Source organism: Homo sapiens, chromosome 9 (genome assembly GCF_000001405.40).
Source record: "Homo sapiens chromosome 9, GRCh38.p14 Primary Assembly".
Taxonomy (NCBI): domain Eukaryota; kingdom Metazoa; phylum Chordata; class Mammalia; order Primates; family Hominidae; genus Homo; species Homo sapiens.
Window position 1 is genome coordinate 5710525 of NC_000009.12, and position 21837 is coordinate 5732361.

Below are 21837 nucleotides of genomic sequence, written 5' to 3' on the forward strand. Positions count from 1 at the left end.
TGAAGTCCACCAGTTGACAGCCTGCAGACACGTAGTCACCTTTTTATTGTTAACCTCTAAAATAAGAACAAAGGACTAAACATTGTTAGCCATTTTAGGAAAGTTTCCAGTGTAACTTAGAAACACATACCAGAAAAAAGGAACTTAAAGTAAACAGATACTTGAAGGAATGAAAACAGTTTGAGGAAATAATTAACAACCTTAGACAGATTTTGGCTAATCAAACAAGGTAGGATGGTTTAAGAAAACGGGGGGAGTGGATGAGAAAATTCTCAGAATGAAAAGTACAATAGTAGAAATATATTCAGTAAAAGCATTGAAAGAAACAGTTGAGGAACTTTCCCTGGATATAGAATAAAAGACAAGAATAAGAGAGAAAAGAGAAAATTAGAGTTTAATATGAGGTTTAATATCTAACTGACTAGGAGTTGTAGAAAGAGAGAACAGGGAATGGAGAAGCTTATTATTATATTAAGGAAACAAAACATGTAAATTTCCTAGAGTTTAAACTAAATACATCAGTAGATTGAACAGGTCTACCAGGTGCTCAGTGCAATGATAAACATTCACATACTTGTAGAAAAATTAATTATTTTGAAATTTCAGAACCCATCGGATATATAAAAAGAAGATCCTAGGTACTTCAGAGGAAAAAGAGCTAGTCTGTGAATAGGAATGTCATTGAACTCCACAGCCACACTTGAGAATCTAAAAGGACATGTCCCCAGTGTACTTATCTCCCAGATTCAAAAGTTGTCAACATCCCCCTCTCCCCATGCATGCATACTTTTTAATTATTAAAGCAACTTTCATATACTATATCATTCAACCCTAAATGCTTCTGTTTTGTCTGTAACAGGTAGACATTTTAAGGAAACCAAACCACAATATTATTACCCAACAGAATTAATAGTTTATTAGTGTCATCAAATACTCAGTCTGTGTTCAGTTTTCCCATTTTAACTCAGAGCTGTTATTTTAGGAGTTGGTCTGTTCAAATCAGGACATACGTCTTTTTTGTTTGTTTTCCTTTTTATCTTTATTTTATATATATATATATTTTTATTATACTTTAAGTTCTAGGGTACATGTGCACAATGTGCAGGTTTGTTACATATGTATACATGTGCTGTGTTGGTGTTCTGCACCCATTAACTCGTCATTTACATTAGGTATATCTCCTAATGCTATCCCTCCCTGCTGCCCCCACCCCACAACAGGACCTGATGTGTGATGGTCCCTTTCCTGTGTCCAAGTGTTCTCATTGTTCAATTCCCACCTATGAGTGAGAACATGCGGTGTTTGGTTTTTTGTCCTTGCGACAGTTTGCTGAGAATGATGGTTTCCAGCTTCATCTATGTCCCTACAAAGGACATGAACTCATCCTTTTATATGGCTGCATAGTATTCCATGGTGTATATGTGCCACATTTTCTTAATCCAGTCTATCATTGTTGAACATTTGGGTTGGTTCCAAGTCTTTGCTATTGTGAGTAGTGCCGCAATAAACATACATGCGCATGTGTCTTTATAGCAGCATGATTTATATTCCTTTGGGTATATACCTAGTAATGGGATTGCTGGGTCAAATGGTATTTCTAGTTCTAGATCCCTAAGGAATCGCCACACTGTCTTCCACAATAGTTGAACTAGTTTGCAGTCCCACCAACAATGTAAAAGTGTTCCTATTTCTTCACATCCTCTCCAGCACCTGTTGTTTCCTGACTTTTTAATGATCACCATTCTAACTGGTGTGAGATGGTATCTCATTGTGGTTTTGATTTGCATTTCTCTGATGGCCAGTGATGATGAGCATTTTTTCATGTGTCTGTTAAAGAGCTTCTGCGCAGCAAAAGAAACTACCATCAGAGTGAAGAGGCAACCTACAGAATGGGAGAACATTTTTGCAATCTACTCATCTGACAAAGGGCTAATATCCAGCATCTACAAAGGACTCAAACAAATTTACAAGAAAAAAACAACCCCATCAAAAAGTGGGCAAAGGATATGAACAGACACTTCTCAAAAGAAGACATATGTCTTTTTAAGTTTCCACTGAAAGGAGTCTACCTCTGTGTTGTTTTCTGTCTTAAGCTTTCTAGCCCTATTTGAATTTTAACTTCTGTATATATATTACTTTGGAAAATAAAATTTAACTTTAAAACCAGATATATTAATACATCGAAGACATCTCAGTAAATCATCACAGACTGTGTGTTCAGCAGTTTAAATGTGACTCCTATAAACTAATTACTTTCATGTCCTTTTTACAGGCTGTCACATCAGTCAGACATGTTAGTTGAACACGAACCTGTATGGTTAAACATTAGCTAGTTTAGTCATTTAGACTTAGAAGGAATTAAGTAAGTACTCCAGTTCATAGTAGTAGCAGGATAGAATGGTAATAAATCACCACAAAACTTTATAAGAAAAATAGTCTGTAACAAAAAAATAAGCAAAAATAAGTAAGAAAGAAAACTAAAAAAATGAGCATCAAAATATATTTCCCAAAGCCAGGAACTTTGAAAGCTATTGGACTTGTTTGCCTCTTTGTGCATATTTTAATAGTATCGACAAATTATAGGAATGTACTTGACTGGAAAGGGAGAGATGACATCAGCAGGCTAATTGTTGCCACAAGTGATAGCTGATGGTGAGAGACAGATAACTGTTAAATTCCAGCACAGGCACTGAAGAAGATACTGGTCTACCATGCCATGTGGAGATAAAGAATACAAAACAACCTGTAGTCCTTTGAAGGGTCGTGTGTGACAGTTCAGTTAAGTTGGCATTGACCCAGCACTCTACTGCAGCTATTTGATGCCAGGGATTTAAAATTTTAGGTATTTAGCTACTTATTACTAAGTAACTTGTGAAACATCTCCTAATTGCACCCTTGAATTTCACCTTAATTCTGATTCACACCCAAAGAATAGGAATGAAGGATAAGGTGTGGAGTAAGTAAAGATGAAGCCACACGATTTGGATCACTGGGACAGATACTGTATAGAATGATACTTTTTTCCATAGTTGTCCACCTTAGAAAGGGCCCTCAGGAATTTTAAACAAAATGCCTGTTGGTTCTCTTTAGAGTTAGTTCACTTTTATTTCAAGTGGGTTTTTTTCTCAGATTCTCTGCTCTTCTTCCCACCCTCCTAACACAAATTACATTGGTCAAACATTTATTTCCAATTGATAAGTAGATAATGTCTGCTATAATAGAATTTAAGTCTGTTTTTCATTTGAGAATCTGAAGGATGAATACCTGATTTGTAAGTTTTATTTCATTTACTTTATTTGATTGTATGTGTATTAGCCACAGAATGGAGGCAAATTCAGCATCTTTCTTTAACTCTATGCTGTTTGTTTTAGAGGAAGTCCACAAATGAAGGGGACACCCCATTTTAAGGAAGAACAGTGTGCTCCAGCATTAAATTTGGAGATGAGGAAAATACTGGATTTACAAGCACCCATCATGAGGTACAGTACTTTGGTTAAATTTGACATTGTGTGATGACAGTAGACAATGTAGTTCGTAAATCCCATGACCAACAGGAAAGTTAGTTTAATTTCTTTTAATTCAAGATAACTTCTTAGTTCTGGAAATGCTTGATTAACCCTTATAAGACAATGGAAGTTTTACAGATGGCACTTAATACTTAAATTATTATAATAAAATTGAATATACCAACTATAATCTTATTTTGAAATTTATATTTTATAAGGTCTAGAATTGTTTGATTGAGTGATAACAGTCCATATTTCCCAAAACAATACTGATGAAAGCACACAAGTTGAGGAAAAGAGAAAGTGCCTTTGTTTCCAAAGTTGCCATAAGCTTCTGGGAAGTTTATATACACTTGGAAGAAAGTTACACTTTTTCATCCAAGTATGAATAAAGGTTTTATGACAAAGTGGCCAGAAATACCAGAATACCAAAAATCTATTTTATACCCATTGGTAGAAAAAATCTTACCTACAATTTGGCTTTATTTCTTTAATTGTTGTTCCACTATTGATGTTTTAGTTGTCACTTAGTTTAGCTGCATATCTTTTCCATTGTGTAGATATAAGAAAATTTATTTAAACGATACGCAGCTGTAAAAACATTGAGGACATTCTTTATGGAAAAAAATCTTTCCAAATATGTTGTTGGGTGAAAAAAGCAAAATGCTTATGTTGCTAATGTTTGTTTTTAAAAGGGAGATGAGGTATCTCCATCTTGTTTAAAAGAGAGAGCATGTATTTTTCTGGAAGAATACATAAGAAACTGGGGATGAGAACTGAGTAGCTATGGGACAGGTTTGGGGGAAAAGCTTTTTATTGTGTACTCTTTTTTAATATTGAACTATGTAAATGTATTGAATTATATGAATGTCATGCTACTTTTAAAAAAATCCCTCTGACTCACAGTTCTAAGTAAAGGTTTATTTCACCATTTCTCTTGTTAGAGTACTGTACAGAATGATACTGAAACATTAAAACTATGCAAGTGGCTGGGTATTGTCTTGCCTTGTTTGGTCCATCCCCTTCATATCTTATTCTCATAGAAAAGAACACAATTATTATTTGCTTAAATGTAATCAGTGTTACAGAAGATTGAGTTCAAAGTTACTCATCGCCTTGGTCACAAGGTTATTCATCACTTCACATTTTATTTATTTCAGCATGGGAATCGTTTTCAAGAAAGTAACTTGATACATAAGGAATTCTGAGTGTCTGTAGGTACCAAGAAAAGGTGGAATTGTACAGGCTTGGCTTTCTACCTCCACCTGGTGGGAAACCTTGTATGGTGCATGGAAATAGAATAGAAAAAGAGCCAAAAAGAAAAAAAAACAATTCTGCCATCTTGTCCAAGTTTAACCTGTCAGGTGCTAGGTTTTAATCTATGAATTTAGGTGGTTGGAAATCTGTAAGGTTTCTCTCAAAACTCCAGTGAAATAACTGCATTTCAGAACAAAGTTATCAGCACCTGAAACACATAACTGCTGGAAATTTGAAATTTGCTATAGATTTTAAATCGAGTGAGAAGACATGAAACTTAGATTTTTATAACCAATTATTTTCCCTCCTGTCACCACAAATATAAGTCAGATAAGGCTAGGATATTGGTTATGCTGTTGCTTATAGGGGTAAGAGTACTATCTCATCTTTTATTTTTGATTTGAAGAAAAAATATTAATGTTAAGCATCTAACTTTTGTTATTAATTGAGGATAGAGAATGTTTAGAAGGTAAAAACATAATTTTAATGAGAGTTTCCCCTCCCCTCCCTTCCCCTCCCCTCCCATCCCCTTCCCTACCTCTCTCCCCACTCCTCCGACAGGGTCTCACCTTGTCACCCAGGCTGAAGTGCAGTGGCACAATCACAGCTAATTGCAGCGGCATGATCACAGCTCACTGCAGCCTCAGCCTCCTGGGCTCCAGTGATCTCACCTCAGCCTATCAAGTAGCTGGGACTACAGGCACACGTCACAGCACGCTAATTTTTTGTACTTTATTGTAGAGACAAGGTTTCACCATGTTGTTGAGGCTGGTCTCAAACTCCTAAGCTCAAGCGATCTCCCCTCCTTGGCCTCTCAAAGTGCTGGGATTGCAGGTGTTGAGCCACCACACCCAGCCAAGATCCTAAATTTAAACATACATTTAACACACACGCACACCTGGGATACCACATAGCTCTCATAAAATTAATGAAGTCAATGATTGAAGAGGCTCTCTAAGGATATAACTTAGAGTGTATTTACCTAAATTTTTAAATGTACTCATTAACAGTTGTGATATTAAAAATATTTCAGAACCAGGCTGGGCACGGTGGCTCATGCCTATAATCCCAGCACTTTGGGAGGCCAAGGGGACAGAAGGGCAGATCATGAGGTCAGGAGTTTGAGACCAGCCTAGCCAACATAGTGAAACCCTGTCTCTACTAAAAATATAAAAATTAGCTGGGTGTGGTGGCACACGCCTGTACTCCCAGCTACTCAGGAGGCTGAGGCACAATAATTGCTTGAACCCGGGAGGCAGAGGTTGCAGTGAGCTGAGATTGTGCCACTGCACTCCAGCCAGGGCAACAGAGACTGTGTCTCAAAAGAAACAAAAATTTAAGAACCAATACAGCATGAAAAGACATGGGTTATTAGTTATCGAACAGGGTTCTGACATCGCCCTACTACGCCAATAATGAATCCTTCAGTTGGCCAGATTTTTCTGAGGGAGGGGAGTCAGTTGTAGCAAACACTTAGGTGACTTGGGGCAAGGTCTATTTACCAACATTTATAGAATTATTAGTATTTTAACAACTGACACCAGCTTTTTTATTTCTAAATTTTTTTAGAGGTGGTAGTCTCACTGTGCTGCTCAGTTGGTCTCGAGCTCCTGGGCTCAAGCATTCCTCCTGCCTCAGCCTCCTAGTAGCTGGGATTATAGGCACAAGCCACCACGCCTGGCTCAGCCTTTGTTTTAACAAGTTTGTCCACTTTCAATTAAATGAGAAGGATATATCTATCTCTTCCTGTAGATTATTTATTATGTCTGTCACAGTTTTTAAAAAGCCTATCTGCTAATTCCAATATCAAGATTATCTATAAGTCTATTTATATTGATGGATTTTTCTCTTGACTCTAGGTTACATTTTCCTGTTTATTCACACATCTGGCCAGTCATTTGTTTGTTGCAGCATCACTGATTATCATGTTATAGAGATTATGAACTCTTAATTTTGTCAGACGATTGTTGAGTTTTGTCTAGCAGGTAGTCAGATTACTGGAGGATAACTCTGTTGTATACAGTGATTTTCTAGGGAGATAGGGTTAGGGGAGAGGGAGAATGTAGTTTGGAATAAACGATGCTGACTCCTTCCAAGGAAAATCACTGGTAAACCAGTGACTACTCTGCTAAATTGCCTCTCTTGACATTGTCAACTTGAAGTAATCAAAAGGATCAGATTCTGGAATTAATGCAAGCAGAAAGCTGACCAATCCGGGAGAACAGACTTCAGAAAATGGGGTCAGTGTTCCAAAGTTAAAAGTTCAGTTCTTGCAGGCCAGGCACAGTAGCTCACACCTATAATCCCAGCACACTGGGAGGCCGAGGCGGGTGGATCACCTGAGGTCAGGAGTTCAAAACCAGCCTGGCCAACATGGTGAAACCTTGTCTCTACCACAAACAGAAAAATTAGCTGGGCGTGGTGGCGCATGCCTGTCATCGCAGCTACTCAGGAGGCTGAGGCAGGAGAATCCCGGGAGGCGGAGGTTTCAGTGAGCTGAGATCGCGCCACTGCACTCTAGCCTGGGCAGCAGAGTAAGAGACTGTTTAAAAATAAAAAAAAAAAAAGTTCAGCCAGGCGCAGTGGCTCACGCCTGTAATCCCAGCACTTTGGAGGCCAAGGTGGGTCGATCACCTGAGGTCAGGAGTTCAAGACGAGCCTGGCCAACACGGCGAAACCTTGTCTCTACTAAAAATACAAAAATTAGCTGGGCATGGTGGCGTGCGCCTGTAATCCCAGCTACTAGGGAGGCTGAGGCAGGAGAATCACTTGAACCTGGGAGGCAGAGGTTGCAGTGAGCTGAGATGGTACCACTGCACTCCAGCTTGGGCAACAGAGCAAGACTCCGTCTCAAAAAAAAAAAAAAAAAAAAAAAAAAAGTTCAGTTCTTGCTTATATAGGTGGAAAATAAAGTTTAGTAGGATTATAATGTTTTCTATACAAGGCTGGTTTATGAGTTACAATTTAGTTACAGTTTGTTTTCTTTATGGCTTGTCTTTACAGCTAGTTTTCATTTCCAATTTAAAAAGAGTGTATTTAACATTCCATTTTAAGACAATGTGATAGCCATGAAGTCTTTGTGTAAGAAAGATAAGAGGGAAGTTAATCTACCATGAAGATCAACAGTGAAGAGGGAAGGGGTCTTCCCTGGAGCCCTTTAGTCATTTACAGCATTTATAAAACAATACAGTAAGGAAGAAAGCTAATCTATAATCAGAGAAAGAAAGATGACAGCTGCCTAGATTATAGCTGCCTATTGTGTGACTCAGGCCCCATAATTACATTTCTTTAAGGCTCAAAAGTAATTCAGATTTCCAACAGCTTAGATTTTGAATTACATATTTTCATAGCATATAGTAGTGCATCTAAAACATAAACTTTTTATACTCTACCCACCAAATGATACACATAGATTTTATCACTGAAATATAAATTTGAAATTAATATATAATGCTTTAAAAAGTGAAATGTCTAAAAACTGGGAATTTTAATTGATTACAAATGGCTGTGAAGTTCAAGAAATAGAGCTGGGTAAAGAAACATCTGTTTCTGATCTTTTTCAGTATTTTTATAGTTGGGGAAAAAACAGCAAATTCTACATTAGCTGAAATCTTTGGAGTATGAGTAATTGAAGTCAACTTTCCAAAGAATTAAAGGTTTAGTTTAAGAATTAAAATACTAAAAGACATTTTTTTCATCATTATGGATTAAAATATTTCAGAAATATGCTCTTAAGTATGAAAAGGAATTTAATAGTATTTAATAGGGTATATATAATATACACATAACATTTTTTGTTTTTCCTTATATAGTATTTGATACTTTGAACACTCTTTCTTAAATTCATCTTACTTCCTTGGCTTTCTTGATATCAGTTTCTACTGGTTTCCCTGGTTGTCTTTTTCTTTGTGCCAGTACCTTTGCGGTCTCATTTATGGGTTCCTCTTTCCTCTAACCCTTTCCCTCTTCTTGCCTCCTTTGCACAAATATTTAGTGACAGATTTAACTAACACTGCCCTTGGGGCTGTGCATACAGAGGTGAGCAAAACAGGCTATTTCCCCATTAAAGAAGTAAATGCTGAATATCTTCATAAATATTGATAAGTGATGAGATCATGCTATGTAACTATTTTTGATTTCTTGCCTGAGAAGTCCTCTGAAGACGGAGAATATTTTATTCATCCTCGAATATCCAGCACACAGTATAGCACCTGTCACAGAGGATAGGCTCAGTAAATGTTTGTAGAAGGAATGAACAATGTGAGACTTGCTAATACCTAAGAAATATATTGGCCTGGAACTATACTCCAATACAGTAGCCACTAGTCACACATGAATTTATTTAAATTTACATTAATGAAAAGTAAATAAAATTTCAGTTATTTTATTGCACTAGCCATATTTCAAGTGTATAGTCACCACATACAGCTCATAGCTACTGTTTACAGATAGCACAGATATAGAACATTTCCATCATTATTCAAAGTTTTATTGGACAAGTGCCAGAGCATTGTTACCTCTACACTTAATGGCTCTAGATTGTCATACTGTTATTAGTTGGGTTTATTCATTTTATGGTTTCTCTACCTCTTTTTCTTTCTTTCTGCTATCACTTCTGTTTCCATCTTCTAATTTGCTGTTTCAATATTTGTAGTTTTTAACTAGTTTTATCAGTTATCAAGTTTGTGACTGTGAGTGCCCATAGTCTTTCATTTCTTTCAGGATTTCTGATTCTAGATTGAAATATACATAGATAAAGTTGCAGATAAATGGAGATGTTTTGTAAATGGTTTCATGATCATTTTTGCATGAGTATTCTCTAAAGCAGTTTTAATATTCATACACATTGCTTTCCCAGTATGCTCTCTTAAAAATTAATTGATTCTACCTACAGTTTGCAGTCTGTGTTGGAAGATCTCCTGGTTGCTACTTCTGATGGACTTCTTCATCTTATTCACTGGGAAGGAATGACAAATGGAAGGAAAGCCATTAATCTTTGCACAGTACCCTTTTCAGTAGACCTGCAGTCATCTAGAGGTAGCTATACTTTCTACATGAGGTTGAACCAGTTGTTTAATGTTTGATGTCTAGTTAGGTATCTTCTATGGATGAACACTTCTTTGGAATTACTTATGCAAGGGGAGAGGTGGGCAGAGTATGAGAGGCGGGGTGAGAGAGGCATTTAATAGGAAAGGACAGTTTAATTATTTAGGGTTGTTAGGTCATTATTTTTACCCTTTTAAACTTACAGGTTTTTCTGGCAAAAAGTGAGAGAGTAATTTATTATATTCTTAATCCTATTTCATGTGCTTATTTTTTTCATCAGTAGGTTCATTCCTGGGCTTCACAGACGTACACATCAGAGACATGGAATACTGTGCCACACTTGATGGGTTTGCTGTTGTATTTAATGATGGTAAAGTTGGATTTATTACACCAGTGTCAAGTAGATTTACTGCAGAGGTATGACTTATTTACTTTGAAGGGTTTTTTGTTATTGTGTACTTATTTTATTCTTTGTTATCAAATTCTTCTCTATTTTCATCATTCATGTAAGATTTTAAGGGTTGTTAATTTTTTAATCAAACCAAACATATAAATAGTATAAGTAGACAAAATTCTCTTGGACATGTTAAAGAAAAATAATGATTCCTGTTCTCCTCCCTGCTCTCCTCATGCCTAATTTTCCACTTTTGGAGGCAACTACTTGTTATTCCTTTACTGGTTATTTTGATTTTTAATCTCCACTACTCTGAATATTTCCTTTAATTTTTAGTTCTTAGGCTGTGTTTATTGACTTCTTACTGTTGAAAGTGACCATTTACTTCCCTCTTCCCTGCTTCCACCATACTTATATTCTTCTCATGTTCCCATTATAGTTATTGTGATTTTGATTAGGTTACTATTAATTGTTTATATTTTTATCAATATGTAAGCCCCATTAGTACCGAAACCATGTGGTACTGACGCAGAAGTTTTTGCTCCTTAGTTTAGCTAAAAGCAGGTTCTTGTCACACAGCCAGGAAAGATTAGGCATGCAGACATACTGAAAGGTGAGGAGAGCAGAATTTATTAAAAGCAAGCTCTCAGCAAATAAAGATGATGTCCTGCTAACAGGCTCCCACTTCACAGATTGATTACCAAACCCCAGCACACACGCGCGTGCACACACACACGCTGAAGAGCCCCAGGGTCCTACCCGCTGAACAAGGCGTGAACTTAACCCCATTCTCCTAGTGCGCTTGTGGGCATTATTCAGAAAGAATCACTCAGGAAACGGCAAACGGGCAGTTATTTATCCCTCTGGATCACCAGTTTCATCTGGGACAAGGAGTCCCATCTTTCAGCCTTCAGGCACTTTTTGGGCTTGAAAGTGGGTTTTCACTGGGGACCCTTGGCCAACTCCTGTCTCTGTCAGTATAATTATTTTTCCTTTACTGCAGATTTTTCCTCCTGCTAGGAATTAATGATTGCCTTGTTCTTTACATTTGCTTAATTTTTGTGTACTTATCTCTTACTCAACCCAAACTGTCAGTTGTGTAAATATCCTCCCAGCTTTTTCAAACATATTAGCTGTTCTGTTCATTTCATCTTTTTTGTTTTCTTTTTTTTTTTTTTGAGATGGAATTTTGCTCTTGTTGTCCAGACTGGAGTGCAGTGGCACGATCTCGGCTCACCACAACCTCCGCCTCTCGGGTTCAAGCGATTCTCCTGCTTCAGCCTCCCGAGTTGCTGGGATTACAGGCATGCACCACCACGCCCGCCTAATTTTGTGTCTTTAGTAGAGACGGGGTTTCTCCCTGTTGGTCAGGCTGGTCTTGACCTACCAACCTCAGGTGATCCACCCACCTCAGCCTCCCAATGTGCTGGGATTACAGGCGTCAGCCATGGTGCCCAGCCCATTTCATCTTCTTCTTCTTTTTTTTTTTTTTTCCACAGTACCACAAAACAATTTAATGGAGGAAGAGATTTTTTTTTTTTTTTTTTTACCCCGAGGAACTATATCACTTAAGGATGGCTTACAGAAGGAATGAGCTTGCAAAAACTATAAGAGAGAGAGAGTGTGTGTGTGTGTGTGTGTGTGTGTGTGTGTGTACCTATGCAGTGTATGTGTGGGTCTATAGGTATGTATCACACGTCCACATGCATGTTCATAGCCTCCATGCACATGTAAATATTTCTTCACATAAACTTTTCTGACTTTAATACTAGAAAGAACTTACACTGGTTTTCTGAAGCCCACTGTGATATCAGAGATCCCTTTCTAAATCTATCTTTTTATTTACTTTTTTAAGTTCTAGGGTACATGTGCACAGCGTGCAGGTTTGTTACATATGTACACATGTGCCATGTTGGTGTTCTGCACCCATTAACTCGTCATTTACATTAGGTATATCTCCTAATGCTATCCCTCCCCCCCTCGCCCCACCCCACGACAGGCCCTGGTGTGTGATGTTCCCCACCTTGTGTCCAAGTGTTCTCATTGTTCAATTCCCACCTATGAATCAGAACATACGGTGTTTGGTTTTTTGTCCTTGCAATAGTTTGCTCAGAATGATGGTTTCCAACTTCACCCATGTGCCTACAAAGGACATGAACTCATCCTTTTTTATGGCTGCATAGTATTCCATGGTGTATATGTGCCACATTTTCTTAATCCAGTCTGTCATTGATGGACACTGGGCTTGGTACCAAGTCTTTGCTATTTGAATAGTGCCACAATAAACATACATGTGCGTGTGTCTTTATAGCAGCATGATTTATAATCCTTTGGGTATATACCCAGTAATGGGATGGCTGGATCAAATGATATTTCTAGTTTTAGATCCTTGAAGAATCGCCACACTGTCTTCCACAATGGTTGAACTAGTTTACAGTCCCACCAACAGTGTAAAAGTATTCCTATTTCTCCACATCCTCTCCAGGACCTATTGTTTCCTAAGTTTTTAATGATCACCATTTTAACTGGTGTGAGATGGTATCTCATTGTGGTTTTGATTTGCATTTCTTTGATGGCCAGTGATAATGAGCATTTTTTCATGTGTCTGTTGGCTGCATAAATGTCTTCTTTTGAGAAGTGTCTGTTCATAGCCTTCGCCCACTTTTTGATGGGGTGGTTTGATTTTTTTCTTGTAAATTTGTTTAAGTTCTTTGTAGTTTCTGGATATTAGCCCTTTGTCAGATGGGTAGATGGTAAAAATTTTTTCCCATTCTGTAGGTTGCCTGTTCACTCTGATGGTAGTTTCTTTTGCTGTGCAGAAGCTCTTTAGTTGAATTAGATCCCATTTGTCAATTTTGGCTTTTGTTGCCATTGCTTTTGGTGTTTTAGTCATGAAGTCCTTGCCCATGCCTATGGCCTGAATGGTATTGTCTAGGTTTTCTTCTAGGGTTTTTATGGTTTTAGGTCCAACATTTAAGTCTTTAATCCATCTTGAATTAATTTTTGTATAAGGTGTAAGGAAAGGATCCAGTTTCAGCTTTCTACATATGGCTAGCCCGTTTTACCAGCACCATTTATTAAATAGAGAATCCTTTCCCCGTTTCTTGTTTTTGTCAGGTTTGTCAAAGATCAGATGGTTGTAGATGTGTGGTATTATTTCTGAGGGCTCTGTTCTGTTCCATTGGTCTAGATCTCTGTTTTGGTACCAGTACCATGCTGTTTTGGTTACTGTAGCCTTGTAGTATAGTTTGAAGTCAGGTAGCGTGATGCCTCCAGCTTTGTTCTTTTGGCTTAGGATTGTCTTCGCAATGCAGGCTGTTTTTTGGTTCCATATGAACTTTAAAGTAGTTTTTTCCAACTCTGTGAAGAAAGTCATTGGTAACTTGATGGGGATGGCATTGAATCTATAAATGACCTTGGGCAGTATGGCCATTTTCACAATATTGATTCTTCCTATCCATGAGCATGGAAAGTTCTTTCATTTGTTTGTGTCCTCTTTTATTTCGTTGAGCAGTGGTTTGTAGTTCTCCTTGAAGAGGTCCTTCACATCCCTTGTAAGTTGGATTCCTAGGTATTTTATTCTCTTTGAAGCAATTGTGAATGGGAGTTCACTCATGATTTGGTTCTGTGTTTGTCTGTTATTGGTGTATAGGAATGCTTGTGATTTTTGCACATTCATTTTGTATCCTGAGACTTTGCTGAAGTTGCCTATCAGCTTAAGGAGATTTTGCGCTGAGACTATGGAGTTTTCTAGATATACAATCATGTCATCTGCAAACAGGGACAATTTGACTTCCTCTTTTCCTAATTGAATACCCTTTATTTCTTTCTTCTGCCTGATTGCTCTGGCCAGAACTTCCAACACTGTGTTGAATAGGAGTGGTGAGAGAGGACATCCCTGTCTTGTGCCAGTTTTCAAAGGGAATGCTTCCAGTTTTTGCCCATTCAGTATGATATTTGTGGGTTTGTCATAAGTAGCTCTTATTATTTTGAGATACGTCCCATCAATACCTAGTTTATTGAGACTTTTTAGCAGGAAGGACTGTTGAATTTTGTCAAAGGCCTTTTCTGCATCTATTGAGATAATCATGTGGTTTTTGTCTTTGGTTCTGTTTATATGCTGTATTACCGTTATTGATTTTCGTATCTTGAACCAGCCTTGCATCCCAGGGATGAAGCCAACTTGATAGTGGTGGATAAGCTTTTTGATGTGCTGCTGGATTCGGTTTGCCAGTATTTTATTGAGGATTTTTGCATCATTGTTCATAAGGGATATTGGTCTAATATTCTCTTTTTTTGTTGTGTCTCTGCCAGGCTTTGATATCAGGATGATGCAGGCCTCATAAAATGAGTTAGGGAGGGTTCCCTCTTTTTCTATTGATTGGAATAGTTTCAGAAGGAATGGTACCAGTTCCTCTTTGTACCTCTGATAGAATTTGGCTGTGAATCTGTCTCGTCCTGGACTTTTTTTGGTTAGTAGGCTATTAATTATTGCCTCAATTTCAGAGCCTGTTATTGGTCTATTCAGGGATTCAGCTTCTTCCTGGTTTAGTCTTGGGAGGGTGTATTTGTCCAGGAATTTATCCATTTCTTCTAGAGTTTCTAGTTTATTTGCTTAGAGGTGTTTATAGTATTCTCTGATGGTAGTTTGTATTTCTGTGGGATCGGTGGTGATATCCCCTTTATCATTTTTTATTGCGTCTACTTGATTCTTCTCTCTTTACTTCTTCATTAGTCTTGCTAGTGGTCTATCAATTTCGTCAGTCTTTTCAAAAAACCAGCTCCTGCATTCATTGATTTTTTTGATGGTTTTTTTATGTCTCTATCTCCTTCAGTTCTGCTCTGATCTTAGTTATTTCTTACCTTCTGCTAGCTTTTGAATGTGTCTGCTCCTGCTTCTCTAGTTCTTTTAATTGTGATGTTAGGGTGTCAATTTTAGATCTTTCGTGCTTTCTGTTGTGGGCATTTAATCCTATAAATTTCCCTCTACACACTGCTTTAAATATGTCCCAGAGATTCTGGTATGTTGTGTCTTTGTTCTCGTTGGTTTCAAAGAACATCTTTATTTCTGCCTTCATTTCGTTATGTACCCAGTAGTCATTCAGGAGCAGGTTGTTCAGTTTCATGTAGTTGAGTGGTTTTGAGTGAGTTTCTTAATCCTGAGTTCTAGTTTGATTGCACTGTGGTCTGAGAGACAGTTGGTTATAATTTCTGGTTTTTTACATTTGCTGAGGGGTACTTCCAACTATGTGGTCAATTTTGGAATAAGTGTGATGTGGTGCTGAGAAGAATGTATATTCTGTTGATTTGGGGTGGAGAGTTCTGTAGATGTCTATTAGGACCACTTGGTGCAGAGCTGAGTTCAATTCCTGGATACCCTTGTTAACTTTCTGTCTCTTTGATCTGTCTAATGTTTACGGTGGGGTGTTAAAGTCTCCCATTATTATTGTGTGGGAGTCTAAGTCTCTTTGTAGGTCTCTAAGGACTTGCTTTATGAATCTGGGTGCTCCTGTATTGGGTGCATATATATTTAGGATAGTTAGCTCTTCTTGTTGAATTGATCCCTTTAGCATTATGCAATGGCCTTCTTTGTCTCTATTGATCTTTGTTGGTTTAAAGTCTGTTTTATCAGATACTAGGATTGCAACCCCTGCTTTTTTTTGTTTTCCATTTGCTTGGTTGATCTTCCTCCATCCCTTTATTTTGAGCCTATGTGTGTCTCTGCACGTAAGGTAGGTCTCCAGAATACAGCACAATGATGGGTCTTGACACTTTATCCAATTTGCCAGTCTGTGTCTTTTAATCGGAGCATTTAGTCCATTTACATTTAAGGTTACTATTGTTATGTGTGAATTTGATCCTGTCATTATGATGTTAGCTGGTTATTTTGCACATTAGTTGATGCAGTTTCTTCCTAGCATCGATGGTCTTTACAATTTGGCATGTTTTTGCAGTGGCTGGTACCAGTTGTTCCTTTCCATATTTAGTGCTTCCTTCAGGAGCTCTTGTAAGGCAGGCTTGGTGGTGACAAAATCTCTCAGCATTTGCTTGTCTGTAAAGGATTTTATTTCTCCTTCACTTACGAAGCTTAGTTTGGCTGGATATGAAATTCTGGGTTGAAAATTCTTTTCTATAAGAATGTTGAATATTGGCCCCCACTATCTTCTGGCTTGTAGAGTTTCTGCTTAGAGATCTGCTGTTAGTCTGATAGGCTTCCCTTTGTGGGTAACCCGACCTTTCTCTCTGGCTGCCCTTAACATTTTTTCCTTCATTTCAACTTTGGTGAGTCTGACAATTATGTGTCTTGGAGTTGCTCTTCTCGAGGAGTATCTTTGTGGCGTTCCCTGTATTTCCTGAATTTGAATGTTGGTCTGCCTTGCTAGGTTGGGGAAGTTCTCCTGGATAACATCCTGCAGAGTGTTTTCCAACTTGGTTCCATTCTCCCCGTCACTTTCAGGTACAGCAGTCAGACGTAGATTTCATCTTTTCACACAGTCCCATTTTTCTGGGAGGCTTTGTTCATTTCTTTTTACTCTTTTTTTCTCTAAACTTCTCTTCTCACTTCATTTCATTCATTTGATCTTCAATCATTCGATCAAATCGGCTACTGAAGCTTGTGCAGGCATCACATAGTTCTCGTGCGATGGTTTTCAGCTCCATCACGTCATTTTAGGTCCTTGCTACGCTGTTTATTCTAGTTAGCCATTTGTCTAATCTTTTTTCAAGATTTTTTGCTTCTTTGCAATGGGTTCGAGCATCCTTCTTTAGCTTGGAGAAGTTTGTTATTACTGATCGTCTGAAGCCTTCTTCTCTCAACTCATCAAAGTCATTCTCCATCGAGCTTTGTTCCATTGCTGGCAAGGAGCTGCGTTCCTTTGGAGGTGAAGAGGTGCTCTGATTTTTAGAATTTTAGCTTTTCTGCTCTGGTTTCTCCCCATCTTTGGTTTTATCTGCCTTTAGTCTTTGATGATGCTGACATACATATGGGGTTTTGGTGTGGATGTCCTTTCTGTTTGTTAGTTTTCCTTCTAACAGTCAGGACCCTCAGCTGTAGGTCTGTTGGAGTTTGCTGGAGGTCCACTCCAGACCCTGTTTGCCTGGGTATCACTAGCGGAGGCTGCAGAACAGCACATATTGCAGAACGGCAAATGTTGCTGCCTGATCCTTCTTCTGGAAGGTTCATCTTAGAGGGGCACCCAGCTGGATTGAGGTGTCAGTTGGCCCCTAATGGGAGGTGTCTCCCAGTTAGGCTACTTATGGGTCAGGGACCCACTTGAGGAGGCAGTCTGTCTGTTCTCAGACCTCAGACTCCGTGCTGGGCAAACCACTACTCTCTTCAAAGCTGTTAGACAGGGACATTTACGTCTGCAGAACTGTCTGCTGCCTTTTGTTCAGCTATACCCTGCCCCCAGAGGTGGAGTCTACAGAGGCAGGCAGGCCTCCTTGAGCTGCGGTGGGCTCCACCCACTTGGAGCTTCCCTGCCACTTTGTTTACCTATTCAAGCCTTAGCAATGGTAGACACCCCTCCCCCAGCTTCGCTGCCATCTTGCAGTTCAATCTGAGTTGCTGTGCTAGCAGTGAGCAAGGCTCCATGGGCATGGGACCCTCCAAGCCAGGCGCAGGATATAATCTCCTGGTGTGCTGTTTGCTAAGACCATTGGAAAAGCGCAGTATTAGGGTGGGAGTGTCCCGATTTTCCATGTACCATCTGTCATGGCTTCCTTTGGCTATGAAAAGGAATTCCCCGACCCCTTGCACTTCCCGGGTGAGGTGATGCCCTGTCCTCCTTGGGCTCACACTCCATGGGCTGCACCCACTGTCTGACAAGCCCTAGTGAGATGAACCTGGTACTTCAGTTGGAAATGCAGAAATCACCCATCCTCTGCATCACTCATGCTGGGAGCTGTACACTGGAGCTGTTCCTATTTGGCCATCTTGGAACCTCCCATTTCATCTTCTTAAAGAAATTTCTCTGGGAGCCTTCTGGCCTGCTCCAAATTAGACTGCTTGCTTACTATAATCTTTAACACAGCTGTTTTTTGGCCTTCTGTCATAATTATCCTGAGATTCCCTTTACTCTTATTTGTGTCGGATCTTTTAATAGCTAATAGCTAATTAATATATGGATTTGGCTGCTGTGACAGAGACCTAAAATTAAAATAATTTATTGAAAACTGTGAATTTTGGTTCGTTTGGTTTACTATGTCCTTTACCATAGGATGAGCTGACTGAGTTATTTACTTGGGGGTCCTCCTACCTTTAGAGCCATACCCTTCCCTCTGTCCCTCCCTTCTGCTCCCCTCTCCCCTCTCTGTCTCCAGTGTTCCTTGGAAAAGAGTCCTGCAGTCCTTTCTAGAGGATATATACTTGGCTACCCCAGTATTCTGGGATTTGAGTTACAGAAGAGTTAAGCTAGCGGGTCCAAATTCAAGATGTGAACCTTTATTTTCTATCCCTGTTTTCAGTGTGGTCCATAGGCCTCTGGTGGAGGTGGTAGGGGTGGGGGTGTTTTGTTTTGTTTTTCTCCAAAGAAAAATATCCAGTTTTCCGTAGGAGTGGAGGTAGGGTATTTATTGGCTGCTCAGCTTTGGGGAAGTGCTCTGGGAGGACCTGGTTGCTTCTTTAAGTAGGTTTTGAACCACTTCTACTACATTTAATTTAGCCTTTCAAAGACCCCTGAATTCCCAAGCCTTTCGTGTACCCTACAACTTAAATTTAGACGTTTCTCAGCATTCTTCCCTGTCAGTTAAGGATTCTACTCATTGATATGCTTTCCAGCTTCTAAAATTTTCTAATGCCGCCTCCTATTATTTTTGTCTTTGCTGCTTTATGTTTTTTTAAACAAAAACTCTTTTCTCTTCTAGAAGTTACAGTTTTAGGAGTCCAAGAAGCTAAATATTTATATTCAGTCATCTCTCTTTAACTGGAAAGGAATTTAAGTTTTTAATGGCCTTTTTTAATTGTTGTCATTCTGTTTGGTATCAACTTTAATATTCCTATCTACTATCTTCCGTTATCAACTTTATTCAGATAGTAAGGTACTAAATAATGTATTTGTGATCACCTGTGTCAGAACATAAATAAGAATAAAAATAAACTTTTGATGAATTAGAAAAAACTCTTTTTTTTTTCCTATAAGGTGCATATATATTTGTAATTATCTTTGGGACTTAAATGTTTAGACTGGAAATAAAAATATTAGAGCTGAAAAAGTGATTGACTCTTTTCCAAGTACTTTAGAGTTAGTACAAAATATATTCTCAGTGTTTATTAGTATGTAATTAAATAATTTTTTCTAATAAGTTAAGGATTTAAAAACTAATGAAAAGCAGATGGGCATTACTAAATAAGGTATAGATAGAAAATACAAATTACAAGAAAACAGTACCTATGTATTAATGGTAATAGGGAAATAACTAAATGACATTTAACAGATGTGTTAAAATGTGATTATGTCAGTCCTCTGTGGAGACTCATTCAGTAGGACTAGATTATTAGGACAGAACCTCCTGAGGACTAAAAGAGCTGGAGAAAAAATATATTTTTTAATATGCTTGAAGCCCTTAGAGAGCAAACAAGACAGTAAAGAGTTGCCAGACTAAGGGAGGCCAGCAATCCAGTGAGCTAAGCCCAATATTTAAGCCTACAATGAACATGAACAAATTAGGCTATATGCAACAACACAGATAGATCTTACAGACATGGTAAGCAAAAAACAGCTAGACACAAAGGAATACATGCTATGATTCCATTTTAGGTAAAAATTAAAGGGCAAATAATGTAGGCATTTCTAAATTAGAGTATATATGGGTGCATGTTTAAGTGGTAATGATTTAAAAGAAAGAAGGAGGTGATTACCATGTAAATCTGGATATTTTTTGTTGTAGGGGTGTGAGGATACAGTGATTGGGAAGGGCACTATTGGGAGACTTTTGGGTACTCATGATTCTTGGCCTGAGTAGCAATTCCACAAGTGTTTGCTTTGTGATATTGAGATGTACATTTCATTTTCATGTATTCTTTATTATAATTCATGACAGAAAAGTTTAAAAAATTTGAATATTCTTCTTCTATATAACTTGAAGAAAAAGCCAAAATTCTTATGGTGGCCTTCAAAGCCCTAATTATCTGACCTCCTGTTACATCTCTTACCACATATACTACTTTCCTTTCACAACCCATCCACTTCACTCTATCCACACAGGCTTCTTTGCTGGTCTTTGAGCATGCCAGAAATGCTCCTACATTAGGGCTTTTACACTTGTTTTATTTCTTTGAGGACTTTCCTCAAAAGGCATCCTTATAGGGAAACCTGTTTAATATTACATCCTTCCCCTGTACTCCCTCTTCACCAGCATTGCTTAATTTTTTTTGTATAGTATTTTTTAACCTCCAGTATTCAATATACTTTTTTAACTTGTCTGTCTCTTGACTCAAATGTAAAGCAAGCATACAAGTAGAGATTTTGGTGTGCTAGTATAGCCTCAGCACCTAGAGCAGTGCCTGGTGAATGGTAACCACCTAGAAAATACTTATTGTAGGACTGAATTTCAGTCTAAGCAGCAGTTCAGAGAAATAATGCTCACTGCTGTCTTTACCATTTGTGACATAAAATGTCCAGTTTTATTATTAAAATTAAAAGATACAATTCCTACTAAAGCAAAGATTCCGTGTTTAGATAGTAGATTATATAGCTGATTGTGGAATTAAATGAAATCTGTAGGATTCTAGTTCATATAGTTGTGATTATATTGTATCTTTAATGTTTACTATTAGGATCATCCAAAAATAAAGTGCTATATTATAGTGTGCCACTTTTTCTGCTAACTGAACTAATGATTATGACCTTTGCCTTGGAATTTATCATCTAAAATGTCTGTGATTTGACAGATAGGAGCAAACAACTGAGCTGAATCTATTCTCTATATATGGAGATGGCATATGGAAATAGCATATATGCTTACTAATAATGTCATTTATTTATTGAATGCTTGTTGAATGGTAGGCATTGTCCTAAATAGTTTACATGTGTATCTTCATTTAATCTTTGAAACACCCTGAGAGGTAAATACGATAAGAAAACTGAAGCTTAAAAAAGATCAAATACTTATTTTGAGGAGTGAAAGCAGTCCTGAGCTGTCAGGCTTCCAGATACCATGCTATTAACCATTACACTATAAAGAAGGGAATTGTAGAGAATAGTAAGCAATTTTGCTTCTAAAGAATAAACCAAACAGAATGTACTACTTTTCACTGACTGAGAAGTTAAATACTATGTGCTAGGTGATGAGAATAATTACAGTGAGCAAGTTAGATGCTGTTTCCGCTGTCAAAATGTTTACATTCTAACAAGAAAGTCATCTTTATTTGAATTTGGAGATGAATTTCCATATTTTAGTGTTTTTTAAATAAATTAACTAGCACTGGACTGAGCTGAGTATTTATCAGACCAATTCATGAGAAGTTTGAGGTTTTAAGGGAGACTATTTGGTAGTATTTTAAGGGAGACTATTGTGGTAGTCCTGGTGGGATATTTTCCTCTGCAGATGAAACCAAATAAAGCATTATGAAATTGTATGTTTATTGAAGGAGAATTATATTGACTACGGTAAATTTGGAGAAACACTTTTTAA

At 37.9% G+C, this 21837-nt stretch overlaps 1 protein-coding gene and 1 long non-coding RNA gene across 14 annotated transcripts in view; one reads left to right on the forward strand and one right to left on the reverse strand.

The window, feature by feature from the left end:
* The window catches only part of RIC1 (RIC1 partner of RAB6A GEF complex), a 149527-nt gene that overhangs the window by 81418 nt on the left and 46272 nt on the right, over positions 1 to 21837 (forward strand). For 9 of the 13 annotated variants that reach the window (XR_428426.4, XR_007061331.1, NM_020829.4 and 6 more), the window contains 3 exons: positions 3372 to 3479; positions 9658 to 9800; positions 10090 to 10226. Coding sequence is in view for 9 of the 13 variants with exons in the window: in NM_020829.4 (NP_065880.2) it covers positions 3372 to 3479; positions 9658 to 9800; positions 10090 to 10226 (388 nt within the window). In the remaining 4 variants the exon portion in view is untranslated. The remainder of the gene's footprint in view (positions 1 to 3371; positions 3480 to 9657; positions 9801 to 10089; positions 10227 to 21837) is intronic. The other 4 variants (XR_007061330.1, XR_007061332.1, XM_005251523.4 and 1 more) reach the window with 1 other exon arrangement.
* On the reverse strand, positions 8495 to 9662 carry LOC124902115 (uncharacterized). Its single transcript, XR_007061409.1, has 2 exons — positions 9351 to 9662; positions 8495 to 8974 (listed from the first exon to the last, which is right to left on the reverse strand). It is a non-coding gene; the product is annotated as an uncharacterized LOC124902115 (long non-coding RNA).